Source organism: Homo sapiens, chromosome 22, assembly GCF_000001405.40.
Source record: "Homo sapiens chromosome 22, GRCh38.p14 Primary Assembly".
In the NCBI taxonomy this organism is placed as follows: domain Eukaryota; kingdom Metazoa; phylum Chordata; class Mammalia; order Primates; family Hominidae; genus Homo; species Homo sapiens.
The window spans coordinates 39956609-39977159 of NC_000022.11; the positions used below are offsets into that span (position 1 = coordinate 39956609).

General features: G+C 48.3%; 2 protein-coding genes across 10 annotated transcripts in view, besides 3 other annotated features; both read left to right on the forward strand.

Moving 5' to 3' along the window:
- The window catches only part of GRAP2 (GRB2 related adaptor protein 2), a 79902-nt gene extending 62789 nt beyond the window's left edge, over positions 1 to 17113 (forward strand). For 5 of the 9 annotated variants that reach the window (XM_047441607.1, NM_004810.4, XM_047441608.1 and 2 more), the window contains 5 exons: positions 3447 to 3566; positions 9382 to 9550; positions 11434 to 11664; positions 12803 to 12925; positions 14297 to 17113. In XM_047441607.1, coding sequence (XP_047297563.1) covers positions 3447 to 3566; positions 9382 to 9550; positions 11434 to 11664; positions 12803 to 12925; positions 14297 to 14476 — 823 coding nt within the window. In that variant the 3' untranslated portion in view covers positions 14477 to 17113. The remainder of the gene's footprint in view (positions 1 to 3446; positions 3567 to 9381; positions 9551 to 11433; positions 11665 to 12802; positions 12926 to 14296) is intronic. The other 4 variants (XR_007067995.1, XR_007067996.1, NM_001291825.1 and 1 more) reach the window with 3 other exon arrangements.
- Positions 583 to 642: an enhancer, noted in NCBI's record as "active region_19078". NCBI's record gives its function as "activates an Ori minimal core promoter by ATAC-STARR-seq in GM12878 lymphoblastoid cells {active_cell/tissue: GM12878}" and the evidence as "EXISTENCE:reporter gene assay evidence [ECO:0000049][PMID:35858748]".
- Positions 2435 to 2936: an enhancer, noted in NCBI's record as "H3K4me1 hESC enhancer chr22:40355047-40355548 (GRCh37/hg19 assembly coordinates)". NCBI's record gives its function as "activates a minimal SCP1, AML or CMV promoter by ChIP-STARR-seq in primed H9 embryonic stem cells {active_cell/tissue: H9 hESC(primed)}" and the evidence as "EXISTENCE:reporter gene assay evidence [ECO:0000049][PMID:30033119]".
- On the forward strand, positions 3789 to 8297 carry TMA7B (translation machinery associated 7 homolog B). Its single transcript, NM_001396013.1, has 2 exons — positions 3789 to 4311; positions 7312 to 8297. The coding sequence occupies exon 2, from the start codon at positions 7767 to 7769 to the stop codon at positions 7959 to 7961; it is 195 nt and encodes a 64-aa protein (NP_001382942.1). The 5' UTR covers positions 3789 to 4311; positions 7312 to 7766; the 3' UTR covers positions 7962 to 8297.
- Positions 8620 to 8797: a silencer, noted in NCBI's record as "fragment chr22:40361232-40361409 (GRCh37/hg19 assembly coordinates)". NCBI's record gives its function as "represses an EF-1alpha promoter that drives an FKBP-Casp9 reporter gene in an ReSE screen in phorbol 12-myristate 13-acetate-treated (for megakaryocytic differentiation) K562 erythroleukemia cells {active_cell/tissue: K562(+PMA)}" and the evidence as "EXISTENCE:reporter gene assay evidence [ECO:0000049][PMID:32094911]".
- Positions 17114 to 20551: the final 3438 nt, after the last annotated feature.

A 20551-nucleotide genomic window follows, 5' to 3' on the forward strand; every position in this document is an offset into this window, starting at 1 on the left:
CAGGTGCATGCCACCACACCCAGCTAACTTTTGTATTTTTAGTAGAGATGGGGTTTCACCATGATGGACAGGCTGGTCTCAAACTCTTGACCTCAGGTGATCCACCCGCCTCGGCCTCCCAAAGTGCTGGGATTACAGGTGTGAGCCACTGCACCCGGCCTATTTTAAGTTTTTATAAAATGAGTTTGTAAACTCAAATTATCTATAGTGATTTCAATCACGGCGTTCCCCAGAATTCCAAAGGGGACGCTATTGGCCACCCCACTTCGGGAGCTGCTCTCCTAAGCGCTTCTCTGTGACCTCCTAATCCTAACCATCCTCACCAGGCTCTCACCCTTCACTCAGTGGGTGGACAGACACTCCCTGCCTTCAGTAAAGCATGCTCACCCCAATGAGAGAAGTCAGCGGGGGGAAGGGGAAATTCTCTTCCTAAAGAGGAAATGAAAAATTGAGATTGGGCTTCGTTTGTCTCAAGAATTGACCACAAGGGTTAGATAGAAATCTAATCTTGCCTCAGAACCAGGGTCTAGCTCAAAGAGCAAAAGCTTGTTAGAAAACCACAGTAGTATTGGTGACTCCAGCAAGGTGCAAGAGCACCAGTCTTGGTAAACCTGAACTGACCACCAAACCAAGAGAATGACCACTGACCTTGACGGAACCCTTGATGCTGCCCAGGAATCTGCTAGGTGACCTCTGCATACCCCACGTGCTCCTCAAACCTTCAGCCCCTCCGTGCATCACTCTTAGCCCGTGACCTTGATTCCAGGTTCTCTGGAACAATGAAAGCCACCAGAAGTGAAGCTCCCAGACCCCCCTCCCCCACCGCATCCACCTGCCTCCTGCAAGTGTGCTCAAACAGTCGGCCTTTCCTGCAGCTGGCTGGAAGGAACTGTCACTGCTTCTAGCAGAAATTCTCCTCTCTCTCTCTTCCACGTCAACCTCCTTTCCCTCTCTGCTGGATCATTCCTGTCAGCAAACACACACGCTGCAATTTCTCCCAACTTACCAAAACACAAACAAACAAAACCAAACCCAGAGGCCAGGTGGGTTTTGTTGTGGCTGATGCCTGTAATCCCAGTCCTTTGAGAGGCTGAGGGAGGAGGATCACTTGTGGCTAGGAGTTTGAGACCAGCCTGGGCAACATAGCGAGCCCCATCTCTACAAAAAATTTTTAAAAATTAGCTGGTCGTGGTGGCATGCGCCTATAGTCCCAGCTGCTTGGGAGGCTGAGGCAGGAGGATCGCTTGAGCCTGGGAGTTCAAGGCTGTGGTGGACCATGATTATATCACTGCACTCCAGCCTGGGCAGCAGAGAGAGACTCTGTTTCAAAGAAAAAAAAAATTTAAATAAATAAATAAATCAAGAAAATTCTTAATCCCAAATCCCCTTCCACTTGCCACTCCATCTCTTCAAAAGGAGTGTGTGCATTTGCTACTTCCAACTCCTCATCTCCCGACCCTTCCCACCAGGCTCCCCATGGGCTGTAGCTCCCAGGGGTCATCTCAGCATGACCTGCCCTGGGGATCCCCCCTCCCACTGGAACACCTCTTTCATTTTGGCTCCAGGACGTCCTTCCTCCGGTTGTCCTCCCACTGCCCTGGCTTCTCCTCCTCAGTCTCTTGTGTTGGTTCCTCCCACTCCCCAGTCCCCTATAGGTTTAGAATGTCTCCTTTTCAGTGAGGTCTTTCTCATCACCATACCTTACATTAATCTCCCACCCACAGCGCCCCATCTCTCCTCTCAGTTTTCATGTTCTCCACAGCACTTACCATCATCTGGCACGCTTCAGATCTTAATTATTTTGTTCTTTTGTGTGTGTCCCCCTCGACTAGAATGTAAGCTCCCTGAGGGCAGGGGTGTGTGTCTGTTCTGCCCACTACTGTGTCCCCAGTGCCCAGGAGGGGCCCAGCACAGTACTAGATGTTCAGTAAAGCTGTTGAATGAATGAATGAATGAATGAACGAACGAATATGTATTATTGAAACCATGACCACTCATGTCTAATATGCAATGTGTGGTGATTTTTACAAATCTTTAAAGAAGCCCCCTATCAGATTGCAGTCAGAGGACAAATGTGTATTTCCTAAATCCCCTTCACTTCTGAAATGTTTCCTTTGCGATATGGCTGCTGTGGTGCATACTCCATTCCTCTTCCCATCCCCATTACATTTCCCACACGTGGCAGTGGTGTGTGTGGTGGCCTCTTGTTTAGCCCTGTAGAATTGTGTGGCAAATACTCAGGCAGAATCTCCAGGCCACCAGAAACTGCTGCTTTCAGCCCTCTCAGAGCACAGCCAAACTTCCCCCTCAGTCCCAGTGGGGGACTCAGTCTCCAGTAAGTACATCCTTCCTGCTACCTATGTCTCAGTTTCCCAAATTCTAGAAAGCACAGAGAATTGCTCACAAAGGAATCCAAAGCCAAGGCCTGACGGGCTTTTATCTTAAAGGAACATGCGTATGAGCCTTCTGGTGACAGCAATTAGAGCAGCCACCTTGAAGCAATGTGACACAGTCCCACCTTTGGCCGCTGAGTGATTGCAGACACTCATTTTGCTTGTCTGTGGTGGAGAGAGGTCTCTGGCCTCCTGCTTTGAGGCTGCAGCCACAGCTTGCCTGGCCCTGTGTAAGTGTTTGACCTATTTCATACATGCCACGCTGTATGCAGCTGTACCTCCAGGGGCTGCCACCCTGACCATTCTGCTAAAAGAGTAATTTCTCCTGTTTCTTCTTTTCCACAGTAAAGATTATTTCCCAGCCTGGATTTTTGGGGCAGGCCCAGGATCTGGTTGTATAGACGCCGCTCTCTGGCGGCTGCCAGCCTCGCTGATTTCCAAGCATGTACACTGGACTCCCTAGGAACACTGCAGCCTCTGCTAGGCACACTGAGCAAAGCCCCCTTGTGCTCCATGCCAGCCTAGGTAACGTGACGCCCTGGGCTGTAACTTTCCTTTAATACCCAGGGAGGAACCTCTAGGCCACTGAGACCTCAGGGCAGGCATGAGCACCCCAGGCCCTGCTCAGCCGGCTGCACCTGGTTGGCTCCAGTGCCTGAAGCCTTCCCTTCCCTCCCCAGTGCATCCTCTGTCCTCGCAGCTCTGGTCTATCTCTTCCGCAGCTGCCGGCAGGCGGCTGCTTCCTGCAGTGAGTCACTCCCACACTGCCCCATTTTGGTGCAGCGACACATTTCCATGATTCGTTTCCCAGGCTGGAGAGAGACTTCTCCTGGAGAGAAGGAACAAAGAGGGTGAATCAAGGGGAATGCTCCCTCGCCTTTCCTGAAAGCTGCCTGGAGCACTGGTTTGATTTCAAACAGCACCTGGTCTCTCTCTGCTCCCTACTGTACAGAGTCCCCAGCCTCTTTCCCTCTGGGTCACCTCTTCTCCACGTCTCCCTCTTGTCACTCCTGTGTCTCATCCTGATCCTTTTGTTTGATCTCGCCCCCACAGATGGTTTCACGAAGGCCTCTCTCGACACCAGGCAGAGAACTTACTCATGGGCAAGGAGGTTGGCTTCTTCATCATCCGGGCCAGCCAGAGCTCCCCAGGGGACTTCTCCATCTCTGTCAGGTACTGACCATTCCTGACACTGCCTTGGCCCTTCTCGGCCTGTTAACCTCACAGAATGCTGAAGCCATGAAGGGACCTCTGGAATATGACCCAATGGTCAGAAGCATGGTGGCCTAGGGGCCAAGCATGGCAGCAGCTTCACAACCTGCTGCTCCCAGTGCCTTCCCAAAACATGCACACACCACTCTTTAGAACACTGGTGTGTGTTTGAAATTATTTCTACGCCCATCTGCCTCCCCTTCTAGCCCAGGTGCTTCTGGAAGGGCAGGATTTTCCTCTACTTCATCTTTATGCCTTTAACAGTGTCTTGCATAAAAGAGAGACACTCAGTGAGTATTTGTGGAAGGAAGGAGGGATAGGAGGAGGAGAACTCCCACTTGTCCAGATCCATCTGGGGGTTTAAATCTTAACCTTTTCTTTTATGATTGATGCATATCTGAAGAAGAGTCAGAGAAAAATAGAAATCTCAAGTCACTGCTGTAGGATATACAGGGGCGGAAAAGTTGTGGCACCTTTCTTTGCCCATCAGAGGAGTCACAGCTGACACTCCTACAAGACAGGTTAACAAGAGGAGAGTGGACACATTTATTTAATCAAAGACTTGTGTGACACAGAAGCCTTCAGAAATGAAGACCCAAGACCCAGGGAAAGCCGTCTATTTTTATGCTTAGGTTTGTCAAAGGACAGACAGCCCTGTAGAAATGGGATTGGACAAAGGGGGTTTGATCTAAGGTAACAGACTGAGGTAGGAAACTGAACAAGGCCTGTCCCAAGTCTTCTTTTTTTTTTTTTTTTTTGGAGACAGCTGTTGCCCAGGCTGGAGTGCAGTGACGCAATCATTGCTCACCACAGCCTCTGTGTCCCAGGCTCAAGCCATCTTCCCACCTCAGCCTCTCAAGTAGCTGGGGATACAGGTGCACACCACCACACCTGGCTAATATTTTTTTAACTTATTTCTTTGTAGAGACTAGGTCTTACTGTGTTGCCTGGGCTGATCTCAAACTCCTGGCCTCGAGTAATCCTCCTGCCTTGGCCTCCCCCATAGTGACCCTTCTAGTCTCTCTGACCCACTGTGGGGAAGAGGAATTCTAATTTCTATGACTCACTCAGGGGGAGAAAGAGGAGCGGGAGACAGGAGGGCAGGAGAAGGCCAAAGGAAGACTTTGCTTCCAAGGCTGCTTCTGAAACCTTCCCATCTCCTTTGGTTCGAAGCACTCAGCATGCCAAGGGGTGTCGTTTTCTGAGCCCCAACAAATACATGTATAGTTGTAGGCAGCTGAACAAAAAGAAAGGCTACTTCAACACAGTACAGTACAGCAAGACCGAAAACCACAGAACAGAGGGCCAGGAGTGGGGGAGGACTGTAACAGCGAAATCTCACTAAGGTGCAGCAACCCATAGGAAGTGACTCAGTCCACGCGTAGACATTACACAGCCCCAAACTCAGAAGCCCAGTTCGGAACACACTGTGTGTGGTCAGCATGTTGAGGATCGCAAGTCACGTATCAGACTTCACCACATGTGAAACTGCAAGAATATAATGCTGTTAGCAGATCAGGAGAAGTACAGCAAAACCTTACTGTCAAGTTATTGGCAGGAAATACCGATCTGGTTTATTCAATATATTTTGAAAGGCATAAAGCTTTGTTTTAAGGACAGAAATCCAATCTCAAGTAATAAACTGTGGCCACTTTGCTGTTTAGAAAGAATGGATATTTGAAAGGATAGGTAGGAAGGACTTAAAAATAACAGGTCAACAATTTGTATGCATACATACCTTTAAAGTGGTCTCTTTAGCATTGCCCTTGCAATCTTGCTTAAACTCTTTTCTTCAGTAAAAACTTTATTTTCATAGCTTGGAGAATGGTTAACTTTAGTTCAGGCCAATATTGATGTATCACAAATTCTAATCTTGTTAGGTCTTAATTAATGAAATTTCGCTCCATTAACATATATTACAAGTCAGGGTCGGGCGCCGTGGCTCATGCCTCTAATCCCAGCACTTTGGGAGGCTGAGTTGGGAGGAATGCTTTAAGCCAAGGAGTTGGAGACCAGCCGGGGCAACTAGTGAGACCTCATCTCTACTAAAAATAAAAAATTAACCCAGTGCAGTGGCGCATGCCTGTGGTCCCAACTACTTGGGAGGCTGAAGTTAAAGGATTGTTGGAGCTGGGCGGTTGAGGTTGCAGTGAGCCAAGATCGATCGCACCACTGCACTCTAGCCTGGGTGACAGAGCAAGACCCTGTCTCAAGAGAAAAAAATTATTTACATATATTATATACATATATTATTAGAAAAAACAATTATACATATATTTAACATGCGTGTATATATATTACAAGTCAAATCTATTTCTTAAGCCTCCCCTCTTTACCCCATCATAAACTTGACCAAGTAATTTGTTAGACTGAGGGGTATCTCTTGGGCCTTTGGTTTGCATGAAGATGACTCTGGCTTTTTCAGCTAGAAACTATGGTTTTTGTGGTTTCGTTGGTTTTTTGAGACAGACTCTCGCTCTGTCGCCCAGGCTGGAGTGCAGTGGCGCAATCTCGGCTCCCTGCAACCTCCGCCTCCCAGGTTCAAAGCAATTCTCGTGCCTTGGCCTCCTGAGTAGCTGGGACCATGGGTTCGCACCACCACGCCTGGCTAATTTGTGTGTGTGTGGTTTTTTTCAGTAGAGACGGGGTTTCGTCATGTTGGCCAGGCTGGTCTTGAACTCCTGGCCTCATGTAATCCACCCGCCTCAGCCTCCCAAAGTGCTAGGATTACAGGCGCGACCCACTGTGCCCGGACCCAGAACTATGGTTTATATTTCCTTAATTAAAGTGAGTTCTACAAAACAGTAGGCCTTGACTTCTACCGAAGTCTTCCCCTGATATTCAGGCGATGAAGCTTCTAGTTATGGTGACAATTACCGTAATCCTTATCACGTCTTTGCAGAAATGTAGTATAATATTTTCCAAAGCAAAATCATTATTAATTATTTTTACATCTGTCATGGGCACAGATAATTAAGAGCTAATTGTAGTTCTATCACTCAGCATTTGTTAAGGGCCTGAAACACCAGATTTTGGAGTCCAGCGCCCTGAGTCGCATCCTTTCCTTTGTTCCTCTTCAGGCTTGAGACAATGGTCAGGCCATCCTCTCCTTGTAGACCCAGATAACCAGCTGCAACCCTCACACCCATCCTTACAGCTTATGAGAGTAAAAGGGTCAATGTTTCACACTCTGAGTTCTTTGAGGTGGTGGATGAAAAATTATAATATCACAAGAATATTTTCTCCTCCTCACCTGGATGTGAAGGATAATGACTTTGAGTTGATCCATGTTGTCTTAGAATGAAGAAAGTATCTGTTGGTGGCCAAAACCAAGGGGAAGACCACAAAGTGATTGCAATATGTTGATTACCACCCGAAATCAGTCAAGCAAGAGGCCACTTGTACAACCTGTGGCTTCACCCAGCTATGAGCAAATCCCAGCACATAAGATGAGATTGAGGGTCAGAATTTCCATCTCCTTCTTAACACAGGTCCCTAAATCCATCCCTAAGAAACCTCCATGGTCAGGCGCAGTGGCTCACGCCTGTAATCCCAGCACTTTGGGAGGCTGAGGTGGGCGGATCATGAGGTCAGGAGATCGAGACCATCCTGTCTAACACGATGAAACCCCGTCTCTACTAAAAATACAAAACTTAGCCGGGCGTGGTGGCGGGCGCCTGTAGTCCCAGCTACTTGGGAGGCTGAGGCAGGAGAATGGCATGAACCTGGGAGGTGGTGCTTGCAGTGAGCAGAGATCACGCCACTGCACTCCAGCCTGGGCGACAGAGCGAGACTCTGACTCAAAAAGAAACCTCCACTTACTCTCAGAGGTATCTTTACTCTCCGAGACCCTTTAAAATTCTTGACCTTTCTTTTACATCAGGCAATTGGCATCACTAGTGCCAGTTTATTTTTAGATATAAATGTATGTCTGTTTGAAAAATAAACTTTACATCCAAAAGAGAATGACTTGGCAATGAAGTAAAACTGGATCTAATGGTAAAGGCTCAGCCCACCCTTCCTAGATGGATAAAATCCATTTTCTCTAGCCCTGGTTCGAATGTGTCCCATCACTTGTGAGTCCAGACTGGCAACAAAAGGTGCTGATCTAAAAGAAGTTATCGTCCAGTGGCAGGGTCTGGGGAAGGGGCGGCAGGCGCCATGTCCAGCCACGAAGGTGGCAAGAAGAAGGCACTGAAACAGCCCAAGAAGCAGGCCAAGGAGATGGACGAGGAAGAGAAGGCTTTCAAGCAGAAACAAAAAGAGGAGCAGAAGAAACTCGAGGTGCTAAAAGCGAAGGTCGTGGGGAAGGGGCCTCTGGCCACAGGTGGAATTAAGAAATCTGGCAAAAAATAAGCTGTTCCTTGTGCCTAAGGAGACGGTGACCCTTTATTTCATCCGTATTTAAACCTCTCTATTCCCTCCTATAATATCTTTTGCCACCTATAGTTGGAATTAAGTGTCGTCTTGGAGCTGTTGTACATTTAAGAATAAACTTTTGTAAAAAAAAAAAAAAAAAAATCTTCCAGTGGCTCATCATCTCTTTAGTTGTTTTCACTAAGTCATTCCTACCATAACTGTGAATTTAAAGTAAAACCAGCTCAGAATCTTGCCAGAATCTGCTCTTTGGTCGTTGTTCTACCCTAAACTTTGTATCACCTGAAATTAAACCAACTCATTTGAAAGAAAAAAGAAGTTATCATGTTTAGGTGGCGTGACAGGCCAAGCTCACTAGACTGGAGTCAGAGACTCAGGGTTCTGGCCTCAGCCCTTACTCAGCAGTGACCTTGACCAAGCCCCTGCACCTCTGTGAGCCTCAGTGTCCTCATCTGTAAAATGGAGAAGTAAGGCTAAACAATCTCCAACATCCTTGCCAATTAAAACTCTATCATTTCACAGGGCGCAGTGCCTCACACCTGTAATCCCAGCACTTTGGGAGGCCAAGGCAGGTGGATCACCGGAGGTCTGGACTTCAAGACCAGCCTGACCAACATGGCGAAACCCCGTCTTTACTAAAGACTTGGTGGTGGGTGCCTGTAATCCCAGCTCCTCAGGAGGCTGAGACAGGAGAATCGCTTGAACCTGGGAGGCGGAGGTTGCAGTGAGCAGAGATCACACCACTGCACTCCAGCCTGGGCGACAGAGTGAGACTCCATCTCAAAAAAACAAAACAAACAAACAAACAAAAACTCTGTATTTCATACAAAGCTATTTCACCAAAAGCTGAAAACACTTTGTAACCTTATTTATGCAAAACATAAACCAAGATCAAGAGATCCTTATTACATAGAGAAAAAATGTGACATATTTCTTAGGAAAGAGAGTAGCTTCTTACCTGCCAGTGCTAGCTTATGGGCTTAAAGGAGATGGTTCAAAGAATTTCTGGTAACAGAAAGATAATAGGAGCTTGAAATACCCCTGTTGACATCTTGCGAATAAACATTGTGAAAAGGTCTTTGATCTCTTTGTCGTTAAGTCACTTGGAACATGCTTTTCTTGTAAAAGGTTAGTTCCAGTGTCCAAAACAAATTTTAGCTCATCTGATTACCTTCTGCTGATGTAAATCCCGTCTAGCATAGCCTGTATCCTAAGTGGTCCATCCTACAAAGTTCCTGCCGAAGCCTGACTGGGCTGGCCCACCTGCCCAGTGATGAGTGAGTCATCCATATCTACATCTCCTGCTCAAAGAGAACTCCACCATCCCAGATGTGAGCAGCCTGGAGGTGGTGACATTATCACCGTGTAACATACAATTTTGTTTTGCCTTGATCTCCAGGCATGAGGATGACGTTCAACACTTCAAGGTCATGCGAGACAACAAGGGTAATTACTTTCTGTGGACTGAGAAGTTTCCATCCCTAAATAAGCTGGTAGACTACTACAGGACAAATTCCATCTCCAGACAGAAGCAGATCTTCCTTAGAGACAGAACCCGAGAAGACCAGGTATGCTCCAGATCCAGTCGACCCCAATCTAGAGATTTTAGGCAGCCTGAGTTCTCACATGAACCACCAGGAAAAATGCATAGGATGGGTAGATCCTCTGAGTATACTGAAAGACAGAGCTCAGAGCTCTGAGGTCAGATCTCAACTTAACACTTCCTAGTCGTGTGACTTTGGAAAGTTCTCTGCGCCTCAGTTTCCTCATCCATAAAGTAGGGACAATGGTAATATCTACCTCCCAGAATGGCTGTGAAGGTTGGAGAAGATAATGTATCCCACGCCTCATGTCATTCCTCATCACACTGCGCTCAGCAAGCATCAGCTCTTACCACAGGTGCTGTTTTTTTGTTATTCATAGACATTGCTACACCAAAGTTTTCAACCTAGCTCAAGAGTTGCCCAAGGATGAAGGAGTTGGGGGTGCTACAGACAGGGACATTAGGGAACAGCCTAGAGTTCAGGAGTTAAATCAGCATGTGGAGTTTTATGATGGGATTGGGGGTAGGGAGGACATGGGAGGAGAAAACTGCACTTGGAATTATTGCTGTTGCAACTGTTTGCAATACAGACTATTGCTTTAAAAGGAAATGCGTCAGACAGACCTGGTATGAAATCCTGCTTTAATCGCTTAGCTACCTGTATTACCTAGCCAAGTTAAGAAACCATCTGAGTATCAGTTTTCTCATCTGTAGAATGGAGAGAGCAATAAAACCTCCCTCACTGGGCTGTTGTGAGGATTAAATGACTTAATACAGCTAAGCACTACCAGAGTCTGGTCCATATTAAACACTAAGAACATGTTAACTTGCCTCCCATAAGTAAATTCACACATGCACACACTCACACACACACACACACACCAATTTATGAACTATTTTTCAAAGGAAATAACATGGTTATAAGAGACAGGTATCATAGGAAGAAGCATTCACTAGAATAGCTGAAATCCTAGGGACAGGTTATTTGAAAAGATATTGAGACTGTGAAAGCAATGTGTGCTTTGGGGAAGTCAAGAAAATCCTCCTTTTTCGAGTCCCTAGTTGCTTTTAAGCCTGAGAAGTTACTGCCAAAGGAGAAAAGAAGTTACCACCAAATGCACACAGAAGTTCAGAAAGGAAAACAAAGGCTAGCCAAGACCTTGTGAATCACTCTAACCAGGAAACGGACAGAGGTATTAACTCACTAGGATGGGCATTCAGAGAAGCAATATAAAATTGCATTAAATGGGATTAAATGAGTTGATATTTGTAAAGCGCTTAGAACAGTGCCTGGTATATGCTGCCCTCAGGGTCCTACATAATTGTTTGTTAAATGAAACTAACAATACGGTATTTCTGATTTGTAAGGTTGTTGTAACATTAGGGAAAAAGGCCTTACTTCTTCCCCCACGTCCAGCCCGGCGGCAGGCCTGGTTCCCATGGTGTTGCAAGAATGTTGCTGTTTGGGTCTCTATCACCAGGCTGTAAATGACAGTTCAAAATCATGCAAAGTCAACAGTGGAGCTTATCTGGAGGGTAGATTGTCCAGTGGTGTGGCAACATGTGATAAGAAGGGGTGGCATTGTATCAGTAAAATGGAATATTTCAGCTTGATTACACAGAGAAAAAACGAGCGCCCTGGAAATGGACTAAATGGCTACCAGGCAAAAAGTGTTAGTCTGTGAACCAGAGACCTGCACTCCTAAAACTGGGAGGATCTGAGAATGCAGAGGCCACTTTGGAAAATGTGAAGGTCTAAAGCATCAATTATCTTTTAGCTGCCCCCACCCCACCAGCTATTTCTTGGAGCCAGATGAGCAGGGTCTGGGAACAACTGCCCGAGGGTAGGGTAGGGCCAGACGATCAGAGAGGAGGATGCATCTGCAGCATCTCTGTTCTTTCTCCCAGGGTCACCGGGGCAACAGCCTGGACCGGAGGTCCCAGGGAGGCCCACACCTCAGTGGGGCTGTGGGAGAAGAAATCCGACCTTCGATGAACCGGAAGCTGTCGGATCACCCCCCGACCCTTCCCCTGCAGCAGCACCAGCACCAGCCACAGCCTCCGCAATATGCCCCAGCGCCCCAGCAGCTGCAGCAGCCCCCACAGCAGCGATATCTGCAGCACCACCATTTCCACCAGGTATCTGGAAAGAAGGCAGTGGGCACAGTACGGTGGAAAGGAGAACCTGCCTCCCCTCCAGGCCTGGCCCAGCCTCTTGAGTTCTCAGAGAGTTCATGATGAAGACCCTGGACCCCCCCAAATGGCAGAAATAGGGAAACTGTTCTTGGCAAAGACATCTCTATGAATTAAATGGCTCCCACCTGAACACACACACACACACACACACTGTCTCACACACACACACACACTTAAACTCACACACACACACACTTCCCCTGAGGACCCAGTAAACAATTGCTTCATTTTCCTATCAGCACAATTCCAAATCTATTCATGCCCCTTAGCCCATCTGGCTGTCAGATCCACAAGAGAAAAAGGCTTAATACCCACAACAGAGCCTTGTTTATTACTTATTTATCTCCCTCCACCCTTGTTCCCGATGGGATTTCAGGCGGCTTACTGAGATGGACAATACGGCCAGATAACATCATTCCTGAATTCCTTAGCAGGGCACACAAAGTCCTTTGTGAGCTGCCAGAATCTATTTCCCCAGCCTCGTCCCTGCTGCCTCCCTGCCAACTCCCCGTGCAAACACACATTCCAGCAACCCCCCACGCTGCCTTAGTTACCCGAATGGTCCATTGCGTTTCCTCTCATGCCTTTGTGGCGTTTTATATGCTGATCTCTCTGCCTGATGAGCCCCTCCCTGGGCAGTCCTACCCCTCTAAGCTGGAGTTCAAGCATGACCTCCTCTGTGAAGCCTTCCTTGATTTCCCGGGCAGATACAGACATTTCTTCTCTCTGCTCACTTACCACTTAAATGTGCATGGTTCCCCCTCTAAATGGAAGCTCCATGAAGCCAGAGACCTTCTCTTTCCAGCTATATTTCCCTTGTGTCTGCTACTGGAAACATGGTAGGTGCCTGATAAATATTTCTTGACTGAATAAATAAAACCTGCCTTTGCCTTCTTTGCCTTCAGAATCTAAGGTGCCTTTAGACCTTAGGTCCTCCTCAACGTGGAGGGTTTATTGTCATTATCAGTAAGTATTCCTGGAATATACCGGCTCTGTGGATGGCATCTGAGCAAGGCACTGGGGGAACCGGTGGGAGATGTCCTGGCAGTGGGGTGACCAGTCTTCTGTTGTATGTTTCTAGGAACGCCGAGGAGGCAGCCTTGACATAAATGATGGGCATTGTGGCACCGGCTTGGGCAGTGAAATGAATGCGGCCCTCATGCATCGGAGACACACAGACCCAGTGCAGCTCCAGGCGGCAGGGGTATGGGAACTGTCCTTCTCTGGGATCCCTGGGGAAAGGCCTTGGGACAGAGGTCAATGGAGGAGATGAGGCAGGAGAGACTCAAACCACACAGATCTGGCTGGGCACGGTGGCTCACACCTGTAATCCCAACACTTTGGGAGGCCAAGGCAGGTGGATCACCTGAGGTCAGGAGTTCGAGACCAGCCTGGCCAACATGGTGAAACCTCACGTCTACTAAAAATACAAAAATTAGCCAGGCATGGTGGCAGATGCCAGTAATCCCAGCTACTTGGGAGGCTGAGGCAGGAGAATTGCTTGAACCCAGGAGGCAGAGGTTGCAGTGAGCCGAGATTGCGCCATTTTACTCCATCCTGGGCAACAAGAGCGAAACTCCGTCTCAAAAAACAAAACAAAACAAAACAAAAATGCACACACAGATCAACGAGAGGTGATGGAATGTTTGGGGAGGCCTGGGGCTGAGCCAGCACCGTCCAGTCTGTTGATCTCAGTCTGGTGCCAGGCCTTCCCTGTTCTCATAGTTCTCAGTTCTAGTTCTTTATCATCTTTATCATAGTCCTTTACCATTGCCTTTATCATTGCATCTTTTTTTTGTTTTTTGAGACAGGGTCTCACTCTGTCTCCCAGGCTCAAGTGCAGTGGCACAATCATGGCTCACTGCAGATTCAAACTCCTAGGCTCAAGCGATCCTCCTGCCTCTGCTTCCCAAGTAGCTAGGTATATTATTTGTAGCGATAAGCTCTTGCTATATTGCCCAGGCTGGTCTGGAACTCCTGGGCTCAAGCAATCCTCCTACCTCAGCCTCCCACAGTGCTGGGATTACAGGCATGAGCCACCGTGCCTGGCCTGTGATCCATCTTGACTTGTGACTTGATTGCCCTAACACCAAGGGCTGTTGTTTGGGGCATGTTGCCCTTCTGTTTGTCACTCAAGATAAAAATACCACCTATTGATGTGGAGAGAGTGGTTCTCAGGGAGTCTATTGGGGCTTTGGACAATAACATCTGTTGGTAAAAGTCCTGGGTCTCCAGAGTGACGCTGGTGCGTTCTGGGAACTTCTTGCTCAGGCCTGTGCATAGGTATCTGATTTAAATTGCAGCAGGGTAGCCGGGCATGGTGGCTCACACCTGTAGTTCCAGCTACTTGGGAGGCCAAGGCAGGAGGACTTCTTGAGGCCAAGGGTTCAAAACCAGCCTGAGCAACATAGCAAGACCCCATCTCTACAAAAAAAGTTTTTTTAAGCTGCAGAGGGGTCAGCCTTCAGGGAATGTTGCTCTCAAAGACTTGGATGTGGTGGGAGGAGCCAGCAGACCCTCCCCTGCCTGCCCAGCCCACAGCTCAGCAGAGCCTCTTCTGTGCTTCCCCCAACAGCGAGTGCGGTGGGCCCGGGCGCTGTATGACTTTGAGGCCCTGGAGGATGACGAGCTGGGGTTCCACAGCGGGGAGGTGGTGGAGGTCCTGGATAGCTCCAACCCATCCTGGTGGACCGGCCGCCTGCACAACAAGCTGGGCCTCTTCCCTGCCAACTACGTGGCACCCATGACCCGATAAACTCTTCAGGGGACAGAAGCTTTTTGTCTGGAGCTGCCCACAAGAAAGAGGGCAAGGAAAAAAGGCTGGACTCCATGACTATATATACATACATCTATCTACATCTGCCTGTGTACACACACAACTTTTTATACTAGTAATTTATTGGCAATTGGGCTGGTAATTAGTTGATGCAAAAGGGAACTCAGGTGGAGAATAATATTGACACTTGCTTTTCTGCCCCCCTCAGGGGTGTGTGGAAGGCAGTGGGGGAGTTGGGAGGGGGGCAGGGAAATGAAATGGAGTTTTGTCCTGGCCTTCAGCTGTCACTGCTTCCTCCTTGTCTTGGGAATTTTCACGGAGAACAGCTAAGCAGAGACCACACCTCGGCACTGGACACAGAACAACAGGGTGGGGTTGAACTTGGTGGGGCACGTTCTAGCTGACCTGCAAGCCCCGCTCACCTGGAGGGCTTGCAGAGCAGCTCTCCTCCTGTTCTCCAAGGGGTGGGCACTGTTGCATTAGGAATTAAGGTGCAGCCCAGTGCTGCGGGCAGCCAAGCGAGTCTGAGCGGGGATGTGAAGGCAGGACGGGGTTGGAGAGACCCTGCCTGTGCAAGGCTGGCCTCCTAGTCAACACCTAGCTGAGACATTCATCTCTGTTCAAATTAATATTCCTTGGGTCTTTCAAATGAATGTTTCAATGTGAGGAGCGAAGTACTGGGAAATCGAGGGATTTTCCACAATCCCCAAGCAGCTTACTCAGTGGAACCTCTGTTTCCCCAGCTATGAAGGAAATAGCATCCTACATTCCGTAAAGTGCTTGAAGAAGCTCTAGCTGAGAATGCTGAATTTTACAGTCATTGTTTTATGGTTACAAGGGTATGTCTTCAGGGCTCTGTTCATTTTCCCTCTTGATTTTCTCTTTTGAAGATGCCTTGCCCAGTGGCATGGAAAGAAGCCCACTTGATGATAGGAGCCTGACTATGAATTGATTGACTAAACATGACCCCAGGTGGAAGCTGGCTTTGACACCAGCTTCCTGTTCAGTCTGACCACTGCTGTCCTCCTGCTGCCCAAGAGTTGCACCTGGAGCAAGGAACCCCACCATGGCTGTCGCTCTCCATCCCATCACGCTAGAATCATGTGTCCAAGGGCTCACTCTGGAGGTGCACAGCACAGGTCAGCCTGGCCAGGGGCGAAGGAGACAGTAGAGAGGAAGCTCAGGGCCTTAGGGGAGGCCGGGTGCAAACCCGTTCTGCACCAAGTGCACTCGGAGTTTGTGGGTATGGGTGTGTACCCCTGCAGGTGTGCACATGTGTGCTTGCACGCACATATTTGTGCACTCCTGTGTGTATACATGTGTGCTTGTGTATGCATATGTGTGCATTCCTGCATGTGTGGACATGTGCGTGCATGCATCTGTGTGTCTGTGTGTGTGCTGAGACAGGAAAGGGGGTGAAAGTGTTGGTGAGGGAGCCTGGAAGTTTTCTCTTCCCCAACCTCTCTTGCTCTAAGGAGGGATGGGGTTGGGGGCAGCCGTTATTGAAGGTGATCGGAGAAGAAAGATTTTCTGACTCAGAAGTGACTGCCAGTGTAGCACAAGCAGTGTCCCTTGTGACTGTGATTCTACAGTTCTCTGATCCTCATGTTTCCTTTAGAGGAAAGAGGAAAAAAGGAACTCTGTGGTGGGTATTGGGAGGGAAAAGAAAATAGCCTGGTGGAGGCAGGAGGGAGTCGAGTGTGAGTAAGGAGCACCTGCAGCTTTTGGAAGTGAAAGCAGAGAGAGGGAAAGGTAGCTAAGACATCCAGGAGGATCAAGGGGCAGCGTGAGAGGCACAGGGGGAGGAAAGGGAGAGGGTGAGTGGGGCCAGGGAAGAGAACGGTGTGGAGTTGGTGGGCAGATGGTGCAGGAGGAGGGCTGGGCAGTGGGGAGAGGAAGAATCAGAGCAGAGAAACCGCTGCTGCGGAAGGCAGGGAGCAAAGAAGCATAAGGAAAAGAACAGGAGAAAGAACAAAGGCAGAGAAGACCTCCTCAGCTATTTTGGTGCTAGGTAATGTGAAATGCTGCAGTAAATAAAAGCCATAAGTAATGTTTGATTTTACAGTATTTACAAACCATATGCTTTAAACAGCCCACAAACTCCATCCAGTTGTCTGATGATGTGGGAGGACCAGCTCTAGTTAGACGGAGGTATGTGATTCGATTCTGGTGGAGACTTTGTGCCTTGAAAGGCTTCTCAGGAAAGCAGTAATAAAACAAAGTGTCCTTGTTTGGCCAGGCCGTGTCTGGTGTCTGCGTTGCATACCCCTCAGGTAGAGAGTGAGAACGAGACCAGGGGGTGACAGGGGTCATCGGCCTGCAGGAGCTGACCCCGTAGGCAGGCGGTATGAGCAGAGCTTTCAGAACCCCTGGAGCTCGGTGTTCTGTTGTAGCAAAAGCTACTGAAGAGTATTTTGTACTGAGATGCCAAAGCATCTTTCCCTTGCTCATCAGCCTCCATTCAGAAGGAAGCGGGAAAGTCACCCAAACCACCTACAAGGAATGAGGGCTCTTAGCGGCCAGGTAAAGAGGACAAGAACCAAACTGTCCACATTATGGAGGGGAGGGGGAAAGAGAGCTCAACCCCCCTCAGCCTCTGGTGCTGCCAGGGGGAGCCCCTCCGCATGTGTCCCCACGGGCCCTAGTTTCTACCTGACAGCATTTCAGCACCAGAGGAGGGTTGAGCCAGCTCCTCTCACCAGCCACAGAACCAGCAGCCAACAAACACATTGTCCCCGAGTTTGGCTGCAACACTCTATGTGACTTGGGAACTTGAAGCTTCCAGAGAAAAGCCAGGTCCTGTTGGACCAGTTGTTGGGTTTTCCTAACCACTTGCTGTGCCTCACCGCATTTCAAATATCTGGCACCTGCCACTGCCCACCCACTTTTAGATGGCCCTAGGGTGATCTAACCATGGTGCTTCTCAAAATTTAAAGTGCCTACGAATTGCCTGGGGACCGTGTTGAAATGCAGCTTCCAACTTGGTCCTGAATTTCTAACAAGCTACTGGGTGCTGTTGCTAGGTCCACATGTTAAGGAGCAAAGGCAAAGAACTTAGCAGTGAGCACAACTCTAATTGGGCTCTTCTTCTGAGGATATTCGGCCATTTTTTCTTCGCTGCTAACGAATAGGTCACTTTGGCTTTGGGACAGATGCAATTCAGAACGGTCATTATGACGTCATTCATATTTGGCTACCCAGGTGACTTATTATTTTAGCATCCTTATCTCTAGAATTAAAAAAATGTAATGTGAGAGGAATTCAGATGAAATGCAAACAGGAATTTCCTATAATAATTACTATTTCCTAATAGTAATTATTTTAAACATCAGCAGAGATTGCAGAAGTTGTAAAAGCTTTGTCAGGAAATCTTCAGTCATAAAATTGACTCTGGTCAGATGTGGCCCTGGTTGAGGCAGGGGACTGTGCTCCCAGCTAACCTAAAACACAACAGCCCACACTCGGGACAGATTAGCATGGCCAAAATATTTACTGTTTGCCTTGTCTAAGCCAACATTTTAGCCCCTCTATACCAAGGCAAGTGTGTGAGAAAAACCTTGATTGTCTCAATGCTTTTTAAAAAATGCCTCCTCAGTTCCTCCACTTTACTCCATCACCTTGGCCATGCCACCATCATCTCTTCCTTTGGCAACTGTCAGCTTTCATACCTTTCTCCCTGCATTCTCTCCCGTAATCTGGTCCTCCACACAGATGCCAAAGCGATCTTTGTAAAAATAAATCCGATCACATCACTCCCCTTCCCACTGGATTTAGGCTTAAGTCCAAAGTCCTAATGTGGCCCTGTGAAGTCCGGCCCCTGCCTCCCTCCTCAGCCTCCTCTTCTGCCTCCCCTGCCCCTTGCTTTTATGCTCCTGCCCCACTGGCCTTTCAGCCTCCAAATGGCCAAGGATTTGTCCCCAAACCTTTCACACTTGCCATTCTTGCTACCTGGAGGCACATCCCCTGCTAACCCTGCTAACTCTTGTTCATCTCCAGGTCTGGGTTGGTTTTTTGTTTTCTGTTTTTTGTTTTTTGTTTTTGTTTTTGTTTTTGTTTTTGTTTTTGTTTTGAGATGGGGTCTGGCTCTGTTGCCCAGGCTGGAGTGCAGTGGCACAGTCTCAGCTCACTGCAGCCTCTGCCTCCCAAGTTCAAGTGATTCTCCCACCTCAGCCTCCCGAGTAGCTGGGATTACAGGGTCATGTCACCACACCTGGCTAATTTTTGCATTTTTGGTAGAGACAGGGTTTCACCATGTTGGCCAGGGTGGTCTTGAACTCCTGACCTCAGGTGATCCACTCACCCTGGCTTCCCAAAGTGATGGGAATATAGGTGTGAGCCACCATGCCTGGCCCAGGTCTGGGTTTAAATGTCACTTCCAAACAGTCCTCCCCTGCCCTCTAATCTAAAATAATCCTTCCCCTAAGATGGTCTTATGAATCCTGTGCTTTTCCTGAATAGCACGTACACAGATGATGGTGCCAGACTGAGCTGTATGGCTATTACAGCTCACTGCAGCCTCTGCCTCCCAAGTTCAAGTGAACTTGGAGCTGTAAGCTCCACGGAGCAGGGGTCACCTCTGTTTTGTAAACCATTGTACACCCAGCATCTAGCACTATGCAAGGCACACAGAGGCTCAGTAAATATTTTTCTAATGAAGGAATGATTGGACCTGCTTCATCTCATCTATTTACTCATTTTGTAACTCAACTGTCTTGGGCCTAACAGACCTGTAGATGCAAACAAGGTCATATTTACAATGATGTCCAGGTTCCAGTAGCTTTAGCCACTGTCTTCGGATTCTCCTCCAGTTAACTTCTGAGAGGCCAAGAGAGGGAGGCTGTTATCTCTCACGTGTTTAGGCACCAGTATACTCACGCTTCCTACTCTGGTTCCAGTGTTCTGTTGCCCCACGCATCCTCTGCTGACAATGCCTTCCCAGATGCTGCGGATCCACTATGCACCACATTTATCTGCTGGTGAATTGACCCAATCCTTCAGGACACCAAATCTGCCCTGCAGTCCACATGACAAGGAGATTGGGGAAGAGGTAGAGGGGAGAATGGCCAGCCTGTGCCCAATTCTGAGAGGCACTGCTTGGACCCTGGCTCCCTCAGCATCTTCCATGAGCACAGCTGGCTCTCTTCTCAGCCGAGCCCTCCCTCCATCAGACAGAACAAGGGATACCAACCCTTCCCTCCGTCTCTCTCTTCTCACTCTTCCCTGTTGCCTCTTTCTCCTTGAGCTCAAAAGAAGGGGAATGTACCTACATGCCATCGTTAGCTCACAGCTAACCTGAAACACAACAGCCCACACTGGGGACTGATTAGCATGGTCAAAATATTTGCTGTTTTCTCAGTCTAAAGTCAACACTTCAGCCTGTCCATACCAAGGCAAGGGTGTCCTCTGCACCACACCATTTGTGCAGTAGATACTACCTAGAAGCCTAGTAGCTGTGCACTCACTTCTATTGTTTTAAGTTTTGCTGTAATTCATTCATTAAGTCAACAAATATTTACAAAGCACCTCTTCAGGGTCAGACACAATCAGCCATCGGGTCCTTCACATTCTCTCAACTCTGTCCCTTCTCTGCACCCATTCCACAGCCACTGCCTTACTTCAAACCTCTCTCACTTCTTTCCCTGATGACTGCAATAGTCTCAGCACTCGTCTCCCTGCCTTTCTGGCTGGCCCCCTGTAATACAGCCTCCAACGCAGTCAGGGAGATCTTATTCGCAGACAGGCTGATGATACCAAGCTCCTGCTCAAATCTTTGGGTTCTCCATAGTCTTCAGGCTGGAGTTTAACCTCCTTAGCTTCGCACTAAAGGCCTTTTGTGATCTGCCTGCTGCCTTGTTCGTTCAGCCACATCTTCTACCTCTCCAGTCCCAAACACTCTTTACTTCAGTCCCTTAGAACTATCTGTGGTTCCCAGAATGAGGCATGTTTTCTAAGACCTCTGGTCTCCTACATTCTGTTCTTTTTGCCTGGAATGCTTTCTCCCACTGTTTTGTCTAGACAAGGGCTGTCTATTAGGACTTTCTGTGATGAGGGAAA